This window comes from Homo sapiens, chromosome 1 (genome assembly GCF_000001405.40).
Source record: "Homo sapiens chromosome 1, GRCh38.p14 Primary Assembly".
Taxonomy (NCBI): Eukaryota; Metazoa; Chordata; class Mammalia; order Primates; family Hominidae; genus Homo; species Homo sapiens.
In genome coordinates, this window is record NC_000001.11 from 92,955,336 (window position 1) to 92,977,288 (window position 21,953).

At 43.5% G+C, this 21,953-nt stretch overlaps 1 protein-coding gene and 2 pseudogenes across 4 annotated transcripts in view, besides 4 other annotated features; all 3 read right to left on the reverse strand.

Moving 5' to 3' along the window:
* DIPK1A (divergent protein kinase domain 1A) overlaps positions 1-6,127 on the reverse strand; it is a 128,734-nt gene extending 122,607 nt beyond the window's left edge. For all 4 annotated transcript variants that reach the window (NM_001252273.2, NM_001252269.2, NM_001252270.2 and 1 more), the window contains exon 1: positions 6,041-6,127. In NM_001252273.2, coding sequence (NP_001239202.1) covers positions 6,041-6,094 — 54 coding nt within the window. In that variant the 5' untranslated portion in view covers positions 6,095-6,127. The remainder of the gene's footprint in view (positions 1-6,040) is intronic.
* Positions 1,707-1,806: an enhancer, noted in NCBI's record as "active region_1323". NCBI's record gives its function as "activates an Ori minimal core promoter by ATAC-STARR-seq in GM12878 lymphoblastoid cells {active_cell/tissue: GM12878}" and the evidence as "EXISTENCE:reporter gene assay evidence [ECO:0000049][PMID:35858748]".
* Positions 5,688-6,247: a silencer, noted in NCBI's record as "silent region_1078". NCBI's record gives its function as "represses an Ori minimal core promoter by ATAC-STARR-seq in GM12878 lymphoblastoid cells {active_cell/tissue: GM12878}" and the evidence as "EXISTENCE:reporter gene assay evidence [ECO:0000049][PMID:35858748]".
* Positions 6,408-6,487: a silencer, noted in NCBI's record as "silent region_1079". NCBI's record gives its function as "represses an Ori minimal core promoter by ATAC-STARR-seq in GM12878 lymphoblastoid cells {active_cell/tissue: GM12878}" and the evidence as "EXISTENCE:reporter gene assay evidence [ECO:0000049][PMID:35858748]".
* Positions 14,269-14,375, reverse strand: RNU6-970P (RNA, U6 small nuclear 970, pseudogene; annotated as a pseudogene).
* Positions 18,402-18,591: an enhancer, noted in NCBI's record as "active region_1324". NCBI's record gives its function as "activates an Ori minimal core promoter by ATAC-STARR-seq in GM12878 lymphoblastoid cells {active_cell/tissue: GM12878}" and the evidence as "EXISTENCE:reporter gene assay evidence [ECO:0000049][PMID:35858748]".
* Positions 19,492-19,779, reverse strand: RN7SL692P (RNA, 7SL, cytoplasmic 692, pseudogene; annotated as a pseudogene).

Below are 21,953 nucleotides of genomic sequence, written 5' to 3' on the forward strand. Positions count from 1 at the left end.
TTGGGTGATAATACGTCAGTGTAAGTTCATTAACTGTAAAACATGTACCATTATGTGGGGGATGTTAAATATAGGGGAGGGGGCTGGGCACGGTGGCTCACGCCTGTAATCCCAGCACTTTGGGAGGCCAAGGCAGGCAGATCACGAGGTCAGGAGATCGAGACCATCCTGGCTAACACAGTGAAGCCCCGTCTCTGCTAAAAACACAAAAAATTAGCCAGGAGTGGTGGCGGGCACCTGTAGTCCCAGCTACTTGGGAGGCTGAGGCAGGAGAATGGCATGAACCTGGGAGGCAAAGCTTGCAGTGAGCTGAGATCGCACCACTGCACTACAGCCTGGGTGACAGAGTGAGACTCTGTCTCAAAAAAAAAAAAAAAGAAAAGAAAAGAAAGAAAAAAGAAAAAAAAATGAAAATAGGGGAGGGGCCAGGCACAGTGGTTAATTCCTATAATTCCAGCACTTTGGGAGGCCAAGGCAGGAGGATCACTTGAGCCCAAGAATTCAAGACCAGCCTGGGCAATGCAGTGGGACCACTGTCTCTTAAAAAAATATTTAAATTAGCTGGACTTGGTGGGATGTGCCTGTAGCTACTCAGGAGGCTGAAGCAGTAGGATCACTTGAGTATGGGAGGTAGAGGCTGCAGTGAGCCATGATTGTGTCACTGAACTCCAGCCTGGGTGACAGAGGGAGATCCTGTATCAAGAAGAGAAAAGAAAAGAAGAAAAGGGGAAAAAAAAGAAAAGAAAAGGAGGGAGGCTATTCATGTGTCAGGACAAGGGGTATATGGGAAATCTCTCTGCATTCCTCTCAATTTTGCTGTGAACTTAAAATGGCTCTAAAAACTTTTAAATCTTTAACTTAAAAAAAAAATCTGAGGCACTGAGAAGACTACAGTGAAGAAACACTTTTACTGTATGGTCCAGTTTGAAAGAAATGTGGTAAGGATGCAATCTGCCTGAGAATTCACCATTTCTTTGAGCTTCTAACAAAGGTTCAAAAGCAACTAATGGTAATATCAAGTGGCTCTCTGTACACATACCAGTCTCAGAAAGCTAATCATAGTTCTGGAGATTAAATTTCAGGCAAAGGCAAAAGCTAATCTCTGAACAGCAGGTCTAATAAAGTTAATGAGAACTATACAAACTACAGATCTTCTCCCTCTATTGTCTTTGGAGGATAGAGAACAACCATAGGCTCTAATTATCCTTAGATTTAAAATAATCCTGGAGACTGAAAATGGGCAAAAAGCCCATTTTTACTACAGTATTTGGCAACATTACTACTATTACCAATTAATCTGTATCAGTAACCCTGTCTGGCACTAAATCTCACAAAATATCCACATTAACTCATAAGGAACCAAACCATCCACAGCAGTCATGTTTGAAAAATTGTACTAATACGAGCCAAAGTGCCAGGTATCAGAAATGTTAAACAAGTGCAAACACCCTAGCTAGAACATGCCATCTACCCATTCACTCATAACAACCCTACTGAACACATACTGAAATTGCTAGGGCAGTCATTTTCAAGAGGATACTTCTAAAACTTTAAGCCCCTTACAAGCAAAACGGCTTGAAAACCTTCAAAGGACCCAAGTACATGGGACTTCAAATTCCATTAGAACTGCACCAACTTTTCATATGCAACAGAACACATAGGCAGAATGATTGGAATGGAAAATGTGTATAATCTAAGTACAGAGAATTATGCTGAATTGTCTTGACTTTCATTCTTTCAGGACTTAACGATGGTGAGAAGGAAGAAGGTATTTTAAACCAAAACCAACAAATTATAGGGTTGCTGTGTTATCAGCTTCACTCAGACTATGAGTAAACCCTAAACAAAGTAGATCTTAGTTTGTAGAAAACACACTGCTAAAAAAAGACAAATGCAGGTGTCATTCTGGGTTATCACACCCAAGCAGGCCACAAGTAGTATGCACCATAATGGCACGTGGAAGAAAATACTGCCTAAAAATGGTTTAAGCAGTTAATACATCCACAGTTTCTGATCTCAGAGGCAGGATTCTACTCTGTTCAATGTGCTGCATCATTTAGCCAGTCCAGGAAGTGTTATTTCCCAAGTAATGTTTCAACAAAATATCTGGAAAACATGGAACTGTAAATTAGCTTGCTTGCTCTGGGCAAGATGCCTTGCCATGAGAAGCTTGTTGCTCAGGTAAACGTCTGTTGGCCCTTCCAGGCAGGTCACAAGTCCTTCTAGCCCACAGAGAGGCTGCACAGACTAACAGTGTGCCTGCCCAGCTCCCCTGGAAGAAGTGCTCCCTGCACCAAAAAGCTGACCTTGGTGGAATCTGCAGCAAAAGGCAGAGAGAAGAAGGACGACTTTCATGAGATAAACTCGGTTCATTTATTTTTCAACTGTTTTATGGAGATATACTAATAATTCACATATCCTACAATTTATTCATTTAAAGCATAACGTTCAGTAGGTTTTAGTATATTCACATACTTGGGCAACCATCACCACTATCAATTTTAGAACATTTCTGTCCCCCTCAAGAACACTTCATATCCATCAGTAGTTACTCCCCATTTCCCCCCAGGCAACCACTAATCTATCTTTTTGTCTTTATAGATTTGCCCATTCTGGACATCTCATATGAATGAAATAATACGTGATCTTTTGTGACTAGTTTCATATATTTAATGTTTTTAAGGTTCATCCATGTTACAGTGTGTATCAGAACTTCATTTCACTTTATTGCTGAATAATATTCTGTTGTATGCATATACCACACAAGTTCTTTTCTTCACAGGCAGTAGAATCTCTTCTGCTATATAAGCAAAGCTATAAACAGTGAATAGGTGCCTGCATTAGCTCATGAATGTCTATTATGGCTGAAAATATATCATTAATTGTGTAATGCCACAGTTTTCCAAAAGCGTTACCAAATGCCACAGTGATATCTGGATTAATAAAAATACTGAGAATGAAGTTCCTTTACAAGTAAGCTGACTGCTTAAAAGTTTTCTCCTGTACACTGCAGAAAAAAGGGAACTCACAGCTCCTAAGGCCTGAACACCTCAGGACATAACTGGTCTTTGACCCCATCCAGTTAAAGACAAACAGCATAACTGCAAGTATACAAAGCTGGTCTCTGCAACCTTTCTCTCCTCTTCCTGGCCCTCCATCTCTTCCCTCTATCTGTGAAATAAATCCAACTTCTTCCTGTACTCTTACCCTTCCCCTCCCCCCAAACAGAACAAGATCTCTTATACCTGCTGAATAGTTATACCCTCACTCTAAATTAAAATAATACATTCATTCACAGGAAAAGTTACTTAAACCAGACATCTGTATTCTAAGACATTCTTTCAAAACATGAAATCAAACTAGTTTCCCTCATAAGAATTTGTGGCATGAATGAGCTGATAAGAGGAGGGTTTTTTGTTTTGCTTTTTGCAGAGAGACCCATCCAAATCACAGTAAACTCACTCCATGGCAAATCAAATTTAGTTAGTAATCTCAGGTTGATGCATATCTAGAAAGGGGTGGGAAAAATAAATTGTTATTAACTTTGTTAGGCATGATAATGGTATTATGATTATGTCTGAAAATATCTTTATCTATTAGAAATGTATATTGAGGTACTGAGATGAAATGATGTGATGCCTGAGGTTTACTTTAAAATACTTTGGTTCAGCCAGGCTTGATGGCTCATGCCTGTAATCCCATCACTTTGGGAGGTCAAGGCAGGAGGACTGCTTGAGCCCAGGAGTTTGAGACTAGCCTGGGCAACACGGCGAAACTCCGTGTCTACAAAAATTAAAAAAATTAGCTGGGCATGGTGGTGTGCGCCTGTAGTCCCAGCTTCTCAGGAGGCTGAGGTGAAAGGATTACCTGAGCCTGGAAAGTCCAGGCTGCAGTGAGCCCAGATGGCACCACTGCACTCCAGCCTGGGCAACAGAAGGAGACCCGTCTCTAAATAAATAAATAAATGAATAAATAAATAAATAAGTTTGGTTGGAAGAGGGAGTGGGGGAGGTGAAATGAAATAAAATACTGATGAGGGTGGCTGATGGGCATATGACAGTTCATTATTGTTTTCTGTTTTCTGAAGGTATACAAATTTCCACAGTAAAACACTTTTTTTTTTTTTTTTTTTTTGAGACGGAGTCGCACTCTGTCGCCCAGGCTGGAATGCAGTGGCACGATCACGGCTCACCACAAGCTCTGCCTCCCAAGTTCACGCCATTCTCCTGCCTCAGCCTCCCGAGTAGCTGGGACTACAGGCGCCCGCCACCACGCCCGGCTAATATTTTGTATTTTTAGTAGAGACGGGGTTTCACCGTGTTAGCCAGGATGGTCTCGATCTCCTGACCTCGTGATCCGCCCGCCTCGGCCTCCCAAAGTGCATGAGCCACTGCGCCTGGCCGTTTTTTTGTTTTTGTTTTTGTTTTTAAGAGGCAAGGTCTCACTCTGTTGCCCAGGCTGGAGTGCAGTGGCGTGATCTCAGCTCACTGCAATCTCCGCTCCGGGGCTCAAGCCATACTCCCACTTCAGCCTCCCGGAGTAGCTGGGACCACAGGCACCCAACCAACTTTTTTTTTTTTTTTTTTTTTTTTGTATTTTTAGTAGAGGCGGGGTTTCACAATGTTGCCCAGGCTGGTCTCAAACTCCAGAGCTCAAGGAATCAGCCCGCCTCGGCCTCCCAAGTGCCGGGATTACACGTGTGAGCCATCGCGCCTGGCCGGTAAGCTTTTTTTTAAACTCACATAAAAGATTACACAGAGGTACCTGGCCTGGGTTGAATTCTAGAAGGGGTTGTGACAGTGTTACTCAAGTGCACAATTACTATTGGTGGTGCTTGCTACAAAGACTCAGTTTTATTCGTACACGCTTAATATCATGGGTTGTCAAATCATGCTTCCAATTTGCAATACGTCACTCATTTCAGGGTAATGACTTACACATACAATTTTCAAACAAAAATGTAAGATTTACTTGCCTCATGATGGTTACCTTCTCAACTTTTTTCATAATTTATAAAAGCACCAGCTGACCCCAAATCATCTACCTCTTGGCCTTTTAATGTAAGCGGTAAAGGAATACTGTCCTCTGAATGCAGCGTTGGCTAACACTGCTGACCCACGCAAGGCATTGATTTGTAGTTGTTTTTCCATCGGAGTGATGGATTTGCGCTCAGCTACTCGCGGTGTCTACTAGGTCCCCCTGGTGACCAAACAGTACACTTAGGCAGTAGTAGGGTTCCAAGGCACAGACTGGCAGCGGAACAGAGGGTGGAACGGGAAATCATGAAAAATTAACACGCGAACCGTACACACGACATGACTGAGAATTACGTTTGCATTACTAGGGTATTTGGGATCCACAGACCAGCCACTAGCCCCTTTCCTTTAAAAAGCAAACACCCATCCGCCTGGTTCAGGCTTATCGGTCTCCACCTCCCATTTAAATCTTGGGTGTGATGGAACGACCCAACCAAGGGGCTCGGCACGAGGCACACGCTGCTTTTTGGAGCCTGGGGAAACACTGGTGTGACAAATTGTCATAATTTTCTAAGACACGGAGGAATGCTACACCACCTTTCCTACCACCGACTTAAGACCCAAGACACTGAGTCAAGGGCAACCGACCTGCGGGGGCCCACGGGGGAGGGGGGAAAGCCCCGAAAACACCAGGGAGAAGGCGGCCCGTCGAGCTCCGCCTGGAGCGGCGCAGGGCTGCGGGCAATGCCCGGAGCGCGGGGTCGTACCCAGGTCACGTCTCGGGGCTCTCAGGATGCGAGGGCGTACCCGGGCGGGACGACTCGGGCCCTGGAGCCCGGCTGGCCGCGGCGCGGGAGCCGCGAGGGCCGCGGTGGGGGGCGTCGGCAGAGCCGCTGAGGGGGCTGGGGAGGGCGCGCCGCCAGGTGCCGGACGGCAGGGGGCAGCGGGGTTCGGGCGGGCACAGACCCAGGGAGGGAGGAGGGGAGCGGGCGAGTCCTGCGCGGCGCGGCAGGGCACACGGCCGGGTGCTCCCGCAGCTGGTGGCTGGGCGGCCGCCGGCCTACCTGGAGGTAATAGGGTTTCCTTAGCCAGGCCCCCGGACAGAGACTCCTCGCCATGGTAATCACACATCGCCCCGCCGCGCTGCAGTCAGAGGCGGACCCGAGCGCTGGCGGCCGGGCTCCCCGCCTCCCCCCGCCTCCCCGCCCCCTGCCCGGCCGGGCCCGCCCACTCCCCCGCCCCCGCCGCGGCGCGCGCCGCGCTCCCCTCGGCCCGGCTGCAGTGAAGGCGGCGAGAGGCCAGAGGCCCAGCCTCCTGCCCTGTTCGCCCGCCGGCCGCCGCGGCTGTCAGAGAGGCTGCTGCCGACTCCGCCATAAAGGGGAGTCGCACCTCGCCTCCGCCGACACAAATCGACTGCGCCTGGAGCTTAAAGGGGAGGCGCGCGGAGGCGGGAGGGGGCGCCGCGGCAGCGGGGGTGTCGCACGCTCGGCGCGGATTGGGGCGTGCTTCTCGCTGGCTGATGCGGCGACCCCCGGACCGCGCTGGCCTCGCAGTCTGCTCCGGCTTCCGGCTCCCCGCGCTGCGCCCAGCTGCGCGTCCCGCCACCCGCCCCGGCAGCACCGACGCTCCCCATGGACTCTTCTCCTGGAGTCAGGACGTGTCTGGACGGGTTGTTTGGAAATTCAAGGGAAGCTTGGGGCTCCTTCCCTGGGGACTGGCTCGTCCTCCCTCGCCCTTGGTGGCGGTCGGGGGAAGGGGGTGTCTGCCGCAGCTGGAGACGCAGACCGGGGCATCCCCCCAGGACTGGGCTCAGCTTCGAACGCGGACAGGGCGCCCCACTGCTGAACTCGGTGCCCCCCTTACCACGCTCCAGTTCGCCTCTAACGGCCTACAACTTTTTTTAAAAATGTACTTTTAAAAAATTCCGACTTTTTTGGTTTATATTGTTTTTAAGACAGCTTCAGAGTTTTCCTGGCCCCGTCCAGGAACACTGATTTCAAAAGAAAACAAAAACAAAAACACCGAATTAAATACAGTCCTGAAGGCAGGGAGCCTGGGACGTGGCCTGCTGCTTGGTTAAGGCTACATAACACAGGGTGTGGTGTCTTTCTTTTGACAATGAGTTCCAAATAAGGGAAAAAAGAGCCACCCTAGTGGGAGAACAGCTGTTGATCCAAGTGACTTGTAATGGAAGAAGCAGCTTTTTTTTTTTTTTTTTTTTTTTTGGCTGCTTTTTACCCCACCTACCACGTTTAAGCGTGATGCTAACAAAGTTTAGGTGGCCCGTTAGAGCTCATTCCGGCCTGTTGCTCTGAGAAGGGGTTTCCCCAGAAGCAAACCATTACTCATTCTCACTTGGTTTTTGCATAAGCCTTGTTCAGGTGCCTTGTTCTGAAGAGATACCTTCATGTCTGCCCCTTCCCTCAACCCACACACAGACACAGGTTTTAAACCTAGGTGATTTTTGTTGTGGTGGTTGTTCTTTCTGTTTTTGAGAGGGGTCTTACCATGTTGCCTAGGCTGGACTCAAACTCCTGGGCTGAAGCCATCCTCCCATGTAGCTGGAACTACAGCTACTTGGTCTTATTTTATTGCTTGCAGATAAACCAATTTTTCATTGATTTTGTTTGGGTCAAGAGACAGTAATTTCTGAGTAAGATAAGGATGAATCCTAGTGGTTTCATTCATTCATTTAATAAAGATTTATGAGTACCCAGGCACCATTCAAGTTGTTTCGGTTACATAAACAAAACAGACAAAAATCCTTGCGCTTGTGGATGTGAGAGAGAGGGGCAATAAATAATAAATGTAATCAATAAAATCAAATTGGATAAGAATGCTAATAAAGGTTATGGGGAAAACACCAAGGGAGATGGGGAAGACTACAAATAGAGGAAGTTTGAGGCAAAAGAGGAGTTCAGTTTTGGAGAAGTTCCATTTTAAGGTATCTATTAGAAATTGAAGTGGAGATCTTGATTAGGCAGTTGTATGTATGAATGAGTCTAGGATTAAGGAGCGTGGTCCAAGCTAGAGGTATATGAGAGATATCAGCATTTAGATGGCGTTTAAAGCCATGAGACTGCCTAAGATCACCAAGGAAGTGAGTGTAAATAAAAGACGACTGAGGATGGAGCTCTGGGGACCAATGCAGCTTTAAGACAGGGTAGTGGGTGAGCCAGCCAAGGAGACTGAAAGGGAGCAGCCAGTGAAGTGGGAGACCCGAGTGAGGTGCCCTGAAGCCGAGTGAAGCTTGTGGATCTAGGAAGAGGGAGTGCTCCTCTGCGAGTGAGCACTGAGAATTGACTGTTGGATTTAGTGACATGGAGGCCATTGATAACCCTTCAGTGGAGCAATAGAGGAAAAACTTGATTGGAGTGGTTTTAAGAAAAAAATGAGAGGAGAGAAACTGGAGGTGGCTAATACAAACAATTCTTTTGAGAAGTTCTCTTACAAAGGGGAGCCCAAATCTGGGACAGTAGAAGCAGAGTCAAAAGAAGATTGAAAAAAAATGGGGAGAGGCCAAGCACAGGAGGTCAAGGCTGTAGTGAGCTATGATCGCATCAGTGCACTCCATCCTGGGTGACAGAGTGAGACCCTGTTTCTTTAAAAAAAAAAAAAAAGAGAGAAAGAAGGTGGTAGGGGGAGAAATACTTGTTTTTAATGGGAATGATCCGGAAGAAAAGGGAAAATTCATGTAGAAACAAGAAGTGAGAAGTGCTGGAGTGGTGTCCTTGAGAGGGAAAAAGCGTTTGAAAACTAACACACAAGTGGAAGGATCATTTGTAGACGAGTACAGACTGTTGATCTATGGAAACAGGCAGGCAGGTGGGTAGGCATGGTAAATAGGAATCTTTGGAAGTTCTCTTCTGATTGCTTCAATTTTCTTAGAGATGTAGAAAGAAATGCTATCAGCTGGGAGGAGATGGGAAAGATTATGTGAAAAGGGAAGAGAAGGTGTGAAATGTCATCTAGGAGAATGAGAAGACAATGGACCAGAGAATAATTGTGTGCTTGTTGAGTGTCATGTAGGGCCCACTTCAGTTTATGGTCATGAATTTAAGTGAGACAAGTTAGTATGAGTGTGCTTCTTTCTCCAGCAATAATTAGCTCCTAGGAAGCAGGTCCAGAGTAGGCTGAAATTCTGTTTAATCACATTTTACTAAAGGAACAAGAGCAAGGAGAGGAGAACAAGGAAGTTGAGGATATAAGCAAGGGCATGATTATGATTCACCATGGAACTTAAGATGATTAAGGAGGGAAGAGTGGATATGGAGAGTTTAAGGACAGTGAAAAGGTGGTAGGATCAATGAATTGCAAGTCCTTCTGGGGTTGAGGGGTTGTAGGAGTCTAGGGAAAAGAGAGAATGATCTGGAAAGATAGGAGGTATGTAATAGTCTGAGGCTGGGCATAGTGTCACATGTCTGTAAACCCAGTACTTTGGGAGGCTGGGACGGGAGGATCATTTGAGGCTAGGAGCGCAAGACCAGCCTGAGCAACATAGTGAGATCCCATTCCTATAGAAAATTTAAAAATTAGCCAAGCATGGCTAAAAACCCCAAAAAACTGTCACAAAACTCTTTAGTGTGATGTGCACCTGTAGTCCCAGCTACTCCGGAGGCTGAAGCAGGAGGATCCCTTGAGACCAGGAGGTGGAGGTTGCAACAAGCCATGATCGTTCCATATATTCCAACCTGGGCAACAGAGTGAGACACTGTCTCTAAATATATATCTATATTGCAAGTCTGACTCCATTTTTTATATGTGCTGACAGCTTTGAAGCCCTGCCACTCCTGTTTCCTCTGTGCAAACATAAGAAAGCCTAGATGCCTTTGATGCCAGCAGGAAGTTCAAACCGTGCAAGACCCAGCCCATGTGAGAGAGCCCTCACCGTGGTCCTACCCCTTAACCACCATGACATCCTAAGATAGTCTCCTTTCTTTGCTCCCTTAAGCCATTTTTGAACCAGTTTGGGAGCCTGCCCTGCTCTCCCCAGAAAGCTGCAGTATGTGAATAAACCTTTTCACACCCTCTTGGTGCAAGTGTAACATCATCAGTCTCAACGTCCAAATTAAATTTTAGGTGGAGGAGCCCATCTGGCTTCTGCAGGGTGACCACAACAATGTGGTAATTTTAGTGGGATCCATGAAATTGAGACTATGGAGGAGTGATTAAACCTAGGGTGGGATGCCACCATGGCAGTGAATGGCTAAGGGATGTGGAGGCAGGATCATTGGAAGAGAGTCAAGGACAGACTGTCATACAGATTATATGCATGCGTATTAAAAACAGTAAGACTTAGGACAGGAGGTGCTGGGGAAGATGTCAGTAGCAAAAGCTAAAGTCCTTGATAAGACAGTGATCTGTGAGTGAGTAGGTGAGGAATGAGGAAGGTGAGTGACAACATCAGAGGACATGAGTTTTAAGATAATGGGCAGGGGCAGGAATTAGAGAGGAAGCAGGAAGAATATCTTAAAAGAAGCATGGAAGAGCCCTCTCCTACCTCCCACTTCAGTGGTATGAGGGCGCTGGGAAGGCTGCAGGGACAACAGCATCCACAGGGATGAGCCAGGTTGGTGTTAGGACAAGAAGGTGCAGGAGATATTTAGAGAAGCGTTGGAGGACATAGAGGATTTTGCTGATGATAGACAGAGGGCACAGTGGAAAAGCCTCAAAAACTGGGGAGTCTTGAGAAGAGTTCAGAATAGGTGATGTGAAGAGCCTTGAGAGGGTCAGGTGAGAAGTGAGGGAGGCATGGTGGTCTGGTGTTTCTCACGGTAAAAGATATAAACAAGGATACCAAGGACAAAATTTGAACCAAATGAGAAGAAATGGTTATTCGGGTTTCCTTTTAGAGTCACCCAAGACTAAATGAAATTAATGTTTTATTTGAATGGAGAAAAGTAGTTTAGAAGATTTTCATTTCCAACTTGAGTTGCTTCCCTTGTCTTCACATGCCCCAGGACCCTTGCCCTCCAGGGCCCATCCTGAGGACCTTGCATACAGGTGGGTACGGTGAGCCCTTGTACCACTGAACTTGCAGTTTGGCTATAAATCCACTTGGATGAGTCCCAAGATGGATCCAAGCACGTTGGCCTTGGCAAATTTAGGCAAGATCCTTTCTGCCTCTGGTCTGATGTTCTCCTGAACTCTCACTGCAGAGGCCTGGCCAGCCTTTATGTCATATACTGGACCTACTTTACAAACATCCAAATGTACTTGTGCTGGTGCCTGTTCTTATGGCACTTAAAAATTTAAGTTTTTCTAAGTAAAAGCTAGCTAATCCAAAACTAATTCATATGGTTATGTTCAGAGGTGCTAATTTGTGGCCTCTTAGTCATCATATGTAATGTAACTTTGGCCTTCCAGAGACAAAGAAATTACTCCAGTGGGTTCCAGTACAGGAAAATCAAGATCGGTGGTCTTTGAACTTTCTTGTTTGCACATTCTCAAAAGAATTTTGAAAAAGATATGAATTCTCTGATGTTTTATATCAACATCCAAAATTTTTATCATAAAATTAAACAATTGTAAAGGAAGTAATTTTCAGTTTTGTGTTGTAAATATTGGCATTTAAAAATAAAACTGTGGCTGGGCGCGGTGGCTCATGCCTGTAATCCCAGCACTTTGGGAGGCCGAGGCAGGTGGATCACGAGGTCAGGAGTTCAAGACCAGCCTGGCCAAGATGGTGAAACCCCATCTCTACTAAAAAATACAAAAATTAGCTAGGCGTGGTGGCGGGTGCCTGTAATCCCAGCTACTCGGGAGGCTGAGGCAGAGAATTGCTTGAAATTGGGAGGCGGAGTTTGCAGTGAGCCGAGATCACACCACTGCACACCAGCCTGGGCGACAGAGCGAGACTCCATCTAAAAAAAAAAAAAAAAAAACCCCAAAAAACTGTCACACAACTCTTAAGTGTATCCAGTGGAATATATATAAATACCATGCACCTTGATACCATTTAAAGAGTATCATCCTTTAAGTTACAAGATTATTTATTTAGCTATCAGAAATATAACATTGTTCCCTTTTCTTCTTCTTGAACTTTTATAATTCTGCTTCCCTCATACAGCGTTATAGTTTTTTATTTTTATGCTTTCTAATTTATTTATTTATTTAATCTTGCTCTGTCACCTAGGCTGGAGTGCTGTGGTATGATCATAGCTCATCATAATCTAGAACTCCTGGGCTCAAGCAACCCTCCCATATGAGCCTCCCTAGTAATTAGGACTACAGATACATGGCACGGTGCCCAGTCTCTATTTTTCAACCTATCGTACTTCTCTGTATGATAGGTAATTTTAAAAATGTGATTTTAATGTTTTTTATTTTTATTTTTAAATTTATTGTAATTTTTGAATATGTAATATTTTCATCTGGTTCAAAAATAAAAACTAAATTAAAAGTAGTCATTGAGAAATTTTATTATTCTACCTTGTCCTACCCCTCATAGGTAATCACTTTTACTAATTTTAAATTTATCCTTCCAGTGCCAATTTTTTATATAAATAAAAGCAAAATTGAATATGTATTTTTAAAATTTAATATATATTTGTTTCATTCCCCCTTTCTTACCTAAAAAAAGTCACTTTATTACATTTTTTTAAAACTGAAGAATGGAAACCTATTAATTAGACTAATGAAAATGTACTAATTAGACCAACATCAAATCACACTCCTGATAAGAATCTTTCCCTTCTCTTTTGCCTTGACAGTAAGGTTAGATCACAGAACTCAACTGACATTCTTCAAGGACATTTCGGAAACCTGTGGTGTTTTCAGTGCTTTGAATTCAATACCAATGAGAACACAGGTTGCTAATGGCAGCCCTGGGCAGATTGTGTTTTGTTTCTTCCAATATTTACAAATTGGGACATTTTACATAAACATCTAGATTTCTGGCGCTTTTGAAAATTAGATCAGCTAACCAAGCCTCTCACACACACCAATGGTGGGCTGGTGTGACCTCTGTGTGGCACTTGTCCTGCGGTCTGCTATAGTCCCTCTCACTTCCTAGTTTTCTTGCTTCAGCCCTCAGCATTTATTTATCTTTCCTGTCTGGTCCCTGTAGGTATTTGACTTAGTGACCTCTGAGTTAAAATCATAGCAGTGACTTGGGAAAGTACACTTAAAGAGGAGCTTCTTTGAAGCTTCAGAATGGGAAGCAAGAAAGGAGCAAGTGAAGAGAATAGAGAAAGATTAGGCTCTGGATTAATGATTCCATTAAAAAGAACCCATGTTTTACCTGAAATTCCTCAGATAACAGGACAAGTGAATTCTTTCCATATACTGTGTAGTCTGTATTCACCTTCTCAGGCCACTAGATGGTGCAGGGTATTGATAAGCCAAGGTGGTGACTGAATTTGCACCCCAGGAAAAATGAAATCTATTGTGATTGAATCATGAGAACATAGACTGAAATGAGAGACAGAGCTCTTTTTTATCTTCTATGAAAAGGCCCATTGGACATTGGAATTTAAAAATACAGTGGTTCCCTAATTTTCTACTAACACTACCACCAAATATTAAGAATCTATTGTGTCCAAAATTTTATAAAATGCTGTTCAGAGTATGGAACAAAAGAAACTTATAAAGTAGGGCAGGTATTTTGTGTATCTGCTTTTAATATAGAATACAGTGCTTTAAAAAAAGAGGAAGAATGATAAGAAGGGAAATGATAAGAATGATTGAAGGGAAATTATAATTTATTGTTATTTCCTTAACAGTTGGCCTAGAGAAGGTAATCCATAAACATTTCTTAAGAAAATAAAAGAATGAATGAATAAGTGAGGCTTCCAAGAAGATAAGAAGTATAAAAATAAAATAGGTTTTAAAAAGAGCTTTTACCTTGAAAGCAGCGTTCAAAATCTGAAACAGTCATGAATGACAATCTTTATTTTGTTCTTTATTCTTATCAGTACATTCCCTGAAGAAGTGCTGGGTTTTTTTTGGAATAGTTCTTCAAGAAAATGAAACACCTGTAATAATTTGGTGCTAAGATTTTGTCTGATTTAAGGCATAACACTTTAATTCTGGATCTTGAAATTCCTCCTAATGAAAATGTTGCACTAAAAGACTTATGTTGAGAATTCACAGTGACTGCAGCAATAATGTCAGAAATGAACATCTTATGAGACCTATCACATGGAAGTTACTGAAGGAGTCACCTTATTGTGGTGGGTTAGACTTCAGGAGGATATGAACTTGTCCTGAGACCATTTGATGACATTTTCAGTCTCTGGCAATAGTCTCTGGGATTTTGTATAAACTGTCAATGTCATAATATACAGATTTTAAAAATATGGAATGCTTCACGAATTGGCATGTCATCCTTGTGCAGAAGCCATGATACTCTTCTCTATATGGTTCCATTTTTAGTATATGAGCTGTCAAAGCAAGCATGACAATGTCATAATATTAAAATAGTATTTCACAATAGGGTTTCCCTACTCTCTTAATTTTGTGTATAAGAATATGCCATGTTCTCCACAGAAGAGGAAAATCAGGTAGAAACATAACGCAGCAAGAGATGACCGGGTGGCACTACAAGAGCACTGTTTACTGGGTGATTTCTAGTGCTTTCTTCCTTCTGATGACTAACCCTAAGCACTCCCCAATTTTCTTGAGCACAAGAATAACCATCCAAGTCCAGGAAACATTTGATTCTCTCAGATGACAGTAAAGGTTCTTAGAGAACCCAGATGTTTCCTTGCTGATCACCCCCAGTAAAATCCAGTTAGAACCAACAAGTTCAGAAAATGTCATAAGGATTCCAAACTTCTTGTGGAGCATATTCTTCATCTTTTCCTGAGTTTTTTTCCTGCTTTTCAATGTTTCTTTGTTGCATTATAGTGGTTAGGAGCTCTACAAGAACCACTGAAAACAGATAGGCTCTCTTTGTTTAGTTCTGCTACTTTTTAGCTGTATGACCTTGGGCCAGCTATTTAAAATCTCTATGCCTCAGTTTCATCTTCAGCAACAAGAGATTAAATGGGGTTATGTGTTATAAAGTGCTCAGCATGATGCTTAGCACAGAGTAGGCACTGGACTCAAGTAGAAGTCTGAAAAAGATGTCTAAAATGTCCTGCTATAAGGCCATATATGATTACTGTTTTGTTTTGTTTGTTTTTTTTGAGACAGAGTCTTGCTCTGTTGCCCAGGCTGGGATGCAGGGGCTCTATCTCGGCTCACTTCTACCTCTGCCTCCTGGGTTCAAGCAGTTCTCGCGTCTCAGCCTCTTGAGTAGCTGGGATTACAGGCGCCCACCACCATGCCCCGCTAATTGTTTTGTATTTTTAGTAGAGACAAGGTTTCACTATGCTGGCCAGGCTGGTCTCAAACTCCTGACCTCAGGTGATCCGCTTCTCTCTGCCTCCCAAAGTGCTGGGATTAAAGGTGTGAGCTGCCGCGCCCAGCCTGATTACTCTTGTTATTGAACAAATCAATGGAGAGCCAGCATCTTCAACAAACCTTCTCAAAAAGCTTTAGGTAAAAATTAATTTTTGAGTTATAGGGAAATGGGCTTTTCCACACAAATTAATTTTCTTAGTAAACAAAACTAGTCCCTTTAAGGCACCAACTCTTGTAAAACTGTTGACCGTTGTTACATTAATAGAGATCTTTTTGAACTATGACACCCATGTCTCTGTTTTATGAAACTCTGTAATGAATATAATCTAACTATTTATTGATGCTGTAGGATTATACAATACAGAATCACATATCTGACATCTCAGAGTGGGCCAAGTATGGCCTGCTAATACCAGAGAGGAGAAGAGAACCAGCATTGAACACATCCGCTGGGATGGACTGGAACTTGGTGATGCTGATAGGGCCAACAGGCGTTCAAAATAGTTCCAGTTATCAGGTTATAGTTTGTGAAAGCAGTTGTCAGTGTTGGATTAGGCAGCAGCTGGATAGAGTCAAGCTGACACAGAATCAAGTACTTCAGAAGGAGAGACTCTGAAATTCAGGCCAGCAGGTTGGAGGTGGTAACTGGGAAGTCCGTTCAAAGACTGTCAGGGTCTATAGCCACCACCTGTATGAAGGCAAAATTTAATTTCCAGTTGCCTGCACAGCACAGTTATCTCTAGTTATAAGAATAAGGACTCACAGAAAGAGCTCAAAGTCACAGAGTATGTGGCTGGAGTTGGTTAAAAATCTTTCTTAGGCGGGGAAAGGTTGGGTAACTTGCCTAAGGTCATACTGTGAAGGTGCACGCCCAGAATTCTATCACAGGCGAACTCCCTATCTGTCTCTGCTACTTCGCTCTATTCATTTTAAAATAAAACAAACATTTTACTATTTTGGCAAATGTAGAAATGACTGGATTTGTTTTTCTGATTCTAAGGAAAATTCCAACTATACAACTCTAGAGTCACATAATTCATTTTTGAAGGGACAAGAGTGAGTTACATATTTATCTATAAGAAAAATATGTTGTTGTTATAGAACTGATTACTATAGGGGTACCTTAAGAATTATCTGTCTTAAATTCCTACAACCTAAAATTAAACCTTTCAAAAGGAGCCAGTGAATCGCTATGAAAATAGCACAGTTCAATTAGATTTAAATTAAACACTGGTTTCAAATTTGGGATACTAAAAATAAATTATTATAACTGTGAATTCTAAATTATTCTACCTATTAAAAAACCTAAATTAATATATTTAAAATTTGATAATGAGCTAAAAACATTTAGTTCAAAGGAACTACATTTTCATGATATGAAAAACAGAACTTTTGTTCTTCCTCATCCTCAGACTCTCAAAAAAAAAACACAGAATATTATTAAGAAACAATGATCAGGCTGGGCGTGGTGGCTCATGCCTGTAAACCCAGCACTTTGGGAGGCCAAGGTGGGTGGATGGTGAGGTCAGGAGTTCAAGACCAGTCTGGCCAAGATAGTGAAACCCCGTCTCTACTAAAAATACAAAAAAAATTAGCCAGGCACAGTGGCAGCCGCCTGTAATCCCAGCTACTCGGGAGGCTAAGGCAGGAGAATCGCTCGAACCCCAGATGGCAGAGGTTGCAGTGAGCCAAGATCACACCACTGCATTCCAGCCTGGGTGACAGAGTGAGACACTGTCTCAAAAAAAAAAAAAAAAAGCAATGATCTCTCAGGTTCTTACTTTAAATTATTCTTAGATGATTACTATTTTGTTACTTAAATTACCAACAATAAAAGGATTTCTATTTGAATTCAGGTATTTTTCACCTTATATTCTCCATTATTGCCTTCCTGAGATTCAGTTCTAAAGAAGACTAAACTTGCCTCCACTCTAATCCTGCATTTCCTCTTTCCAAAAAGGCATTTCCTCTTGATTACTCCACTTCAAGCTCTAAATATATGTCAGTTCTGGGACTGTGAATGATGATGGTGCTTTGCAAAAACAGGTTAAAAAATATCAAATAGGTGAAGGAAGCTGCAAGTAGGGTCTTGGCCAGGCAATGGGCCAGCAAGATGGAAAAACAGGAGTTGAGTAAGACCCAAGAACCAAAGGGCAGGACAAATTAGTGACCTAGAAGCCAAAGGCAGGCAGAATTTAGAGTATGCCAGAAACTAGGCATGCAGATAGCAACAAAAGAGATCAGAAATCCCAAAGGAGAATGCTTTAGGAGACTAGGCATGCCACAAGCCAGGCAGGGTTAGGGACCCTGTGAGTAAAAGGGGTGGTCAGGAGGTAAGAGCACAGTCTCAGCAAGAGGTAGGGGCAGCAGAAGTCAAGCACCCGTGCAAAGAAGCCTCCAAGGAGACCTTGATTCTCAGGCTAAACAGTGTCCTGCCTGGGACTGTCAGAAGAAGTAGAAAAAGACACCTAGTTGCCCAGGGAATATGAATTTGGACCGACCAGAGCAGGTCTTTCCTTTTCCTACGGTTAACAAATGATTTGGCTCCATGACCAGATAGCTGGCGAATTTTCTTCACTTTTGGATGCTTTTATCCTGACACTCTCTGCTGCTCTCTTCCTAGGTAATGTAGAGTTCTTAATCGGTACCCACAGATGCTGCACTGATTCAACTTGGCAAGAGACTTAGAGCGTCTCAGGACAAGTTGGAAACTGAAAATAGATTCTGCCCATTGACTCAGCAGGATTGGGGGGTTGCCTCTTAATAATCGCACACCAAGTTAGAACTCGTCATGTCTAAGATGTCCTATTCCAGTGTGGTCTCATTTTGTTCCAAAGGTGGTTTTCTTTTTTAAAAACAGAAGTATTGACAGTTGGTCCCATGTTATATTTTTCCGCTTTACAGACTCTAACAAAGTTCTACAGATATGAAAGTCTGGTGACATTTCCCTTCTCTTTATAAAGTGTGGATTTCACAGAACCCACTCCCTGTCAAGGCCATCTGGGGAAGTGTAGAATCTTTTATCTCTCTAGGCAAAAGGGTTTATCTGTTTTACTTCCTTCTTTTAAGCTGAGGACCTTCTGAGGTAGTTTCTTTAATAAGTAAATTACTTTCTTCCCCTGTCTTACCTGACTGTGTTGATAGCAGAAGTGAGGGCATTTTCTTAGAAGATAAGATTTCTTTTACATTGGGTTTATGAATGAGGATTGGTGGGTCTAGTCCCCACCTCCCCACCATGGGGCTGAAATGAAGAGCTGAAGGTCTCATAGGCAATTCTGGGCCACATTCAGTCTTGTTGAGACCTCTTTGGTGTGATTTGTATGAATTTGGATCAGATTACCTGAATTTGAATCCCAGTTATATGATTTTCTGGCTATATGACTTTGAATAAGTCATATACCTAATTTCTCTGGCTTTAGTTTTCTCATTTCTAAAATAGAAAAAAATAATATATCCCAACCTCGTTGTGCAGATTAAACAAAATAATATATCTGAAAGTGCCTTATGTATTTTCTGTAAGTATTCTGTGCATGTTAACAAAATCCTTAAGAAGGTAGGGCGGACAGTGCTCCCTGTAGGTTACCCATCATAGGACTATTTACACCTGAGGCTGTTCTTTCACAGTGCATTATTTATTTATTTTTATTTAATTTATTTATTTATTTATTTATTTATTTATTTATTTTTGAGATGGAGTCTCGCTCTATCACCCAGGCTGGAGTGCAGTGGCAGGGTCTTGGCTCACCACAACCTCTGCCTCCCGGGTTCAAGCCATTCTCCTGCCTCTCAGCCTCCCAAGTAGCTGGGATTACAGGTGCGTGCCACCACACCTGGCTAATTTTTGCATTTTGAATAGAGACAGGGTTTCACCATGTTGGCCAGGCTGGTCTTGAACTCCTGACCTCGTGATCCACCTGCCTCGGCCTCCCAAAGTGCTGGGATTACAGGTGTGAGCCACTGCGCCTGGCCTATTTTTTTAATTAGAGAGGAAGTCTTGCTTTGTTGCCCAGGCTGGAGTGCAGTGATGTAATCATAGCTAGTGCAACCTCAAACTACTGGGCTCAAGTGATCCTTCTGCCTGGGCCTTCCAAAGTGCTAGGATTACAGGTGTGAGCCACCATGCCCAGCCCATAATTTGGTTTTTATTTTATTTTTTAATTTTATTTTGGGAGACAGGTTCTGACTATGTTGACTATGAGTGCAGTGGCTATTCACAGGTGCAATCCCACTACTGATCAGCATGGGAGTTTCGACCTGCTCTGTTTCTGACCTGGGCCAGTTCACTCCTCCTTAGGCAACCTGGTGGTCCCCTACTACTGGGAGGTCACCACACTGATGCCGAACTCAGTGCTGAGACCCAGTGACCACAGTGCACTACATCCCAGAACCCCTACACGCACGCTATCCTCCTGTCCTCTGTCCCCTCCTCCCAAGTGGCTGGAACTACAGGCCTGACACTGCACCCCACTGATGTAGAAAACTCCCAAAAGGCCCTTTTTCTGTAGTCTTCCTCCTGAGTTAAGTGGAAATTTCCAATATGCTGTTCCCTAGAGAAAGTTTAGCTCAAATTTGTTTGTAGGTTTTTTTTTTTTTTTTAGAGGGAGTCTCGCTCTGTCGCCCAGGCTGGAGTGCAGTGGCGTGATCTCCGCTAGGCTGGAGTGCAGTGGTGCGATGGGCTCACTGCAAGCTCCGCCTCCCTGAGTGCATGCCATTCTCCTGCCACAGCCTCCCGAGTAGCTGGGACTACAGGCGCCCGCCATCATGCCCAGCTAATTTTTTTGTATTTTTAGTAGAGACAGGGTTTCACTGTGTTAGCCAGGATGATCTCGATCTCCTGAACTCGTGATCCGCCCATCTCGGCCTCCCAAAGTGCTGGGATTACAGGCATGAGCCACCGCGCCTGGCCGTTTGTTTGTAGCTTTAATGGTAGCTCAGTAGGTCGTTCAGCATCACCGTGTGCTTAAGGAACAGAGATTTTCACCCTAGAAAACAGTCTTTGGAAGGTTGAGTTATTTATCATAGCTCATGTGGTTAGTCATTTAAAACAGTTCAGTGGTTTAGTGGCACCTGTCTTCTGCCCCACCCTCAGCTAATGCCACTGTCCCTCAAATGTTCTGCGTTTAGCCACAGGGCTCTTCTTTCAGTTCCTCCAGTGCCTATAAACCCTCCTGTCACGTGGCTCATGCACATGCTGTTCCCACTTCCCAAAATGCTTCTTGCCTCTCCCCATCCTCTACCAAACTTCTAATTATCCTGCAGATCTCAATTCAGAGAAGTCTTCCCTGACTTCCAAGAAAAGTTCTGATGCCTCTGCAGTCCAACCCACTCATCATCATTGATAATTAGATGTAACTATATTTATGTGATTATTTGATTGATGTCTGTCTTCACTTCTAGATAATAAACTCTATGAGGACACAGGCCATGTTCATTTCTGTTTATCATTTTTATCTGCAGAACCCAGCTGGATGCCTGGTACAAAGGAAACTTATTACAGATATTTAAATAAATAAATGAATTTCCCAGTGGCCAGGGAAAAACAAAGCTATTACAATACTCACAGTGTCTATAAGATAAAAGAGGACCAGATACTTTCAAACAGAAACCAGCTTTGCTTGTGTTATTGTGATATGTAGACAATGTTCTTGTAGGGGAGAAAAAATATATTTTCCTTCTACCCATCTTAGGTTCATTGGCTGGGACCAGTGGAACAAGAGAGATTAACAAGAGAAAAAGCACACAAATTTATTTAATATAAGTTTTACATGACACAGGTGACTTCATAAGGAAATGAGAGCTGAAGAAGCGGTTGAGAGTTTTTATGCTACGTTTGATGAAGAGTAAAGCGTCATGGAGAAATGTGAAAGGATAATGAAAAAGCATGAGCTAGCTAAATGTAATAAACTGGGAGATGGCATGGCCTGTTCACCCAGATTCCCTTTGGTGTTCCTGTGTCAATGGAGATAGGGATGCTCCTTTTCTCCAAGTATGGGAGGGCATCTCTCACATGAGGATCTTATGACTTGCTTCAAGGGAAGGCCGGAATATCCTTCCTGTACATGTTGTTTCTCAAATTCCTTCAGCTTAAAATATTCAGTATGCCAAGTTGCCATATTTTGGAATAGTGTGTGGTGGTTTTTTTTTTTTTAGAGACAAATTCTCACTATGTTACCCAGGCTGGACTTCAACTCCTGGGTTCAAGCAATTCTCCCACCTCAGCCTCCCCAAGTAGCGGGGATTCCAGGTGCATACCACTGTGCCCAACTCTGTAGTGTGTTCCATCATTCTCAACAATTATCCTACAGTTTATACAATGGTGAACGTAATGTATTTCTTTTTTTGTTGTTCTTCTTTTTTTATTTTGAGACAGAGTCTCACTCTGTTGCCCAGGCTGGAGTGCAGTGACATGATCTCGGCTCACTGCAACCTCCGCCTCCCGGGTTCAAGTGATTCTCCTGCCTCGGCCTCCCCAGTAGCTGGGACTATAGTCAGGTAGAGATGGGGTTTCACCATGTTGCCCAGGCTGGTCTCGAACTCCCAGGCTCCCACGTGCCACCACACCTGACTAATTTTTGTATTTTTAGTAGAGACAGGGTTTTGCCATGTTGGCCAGGCTGGTCTCAAACTCCT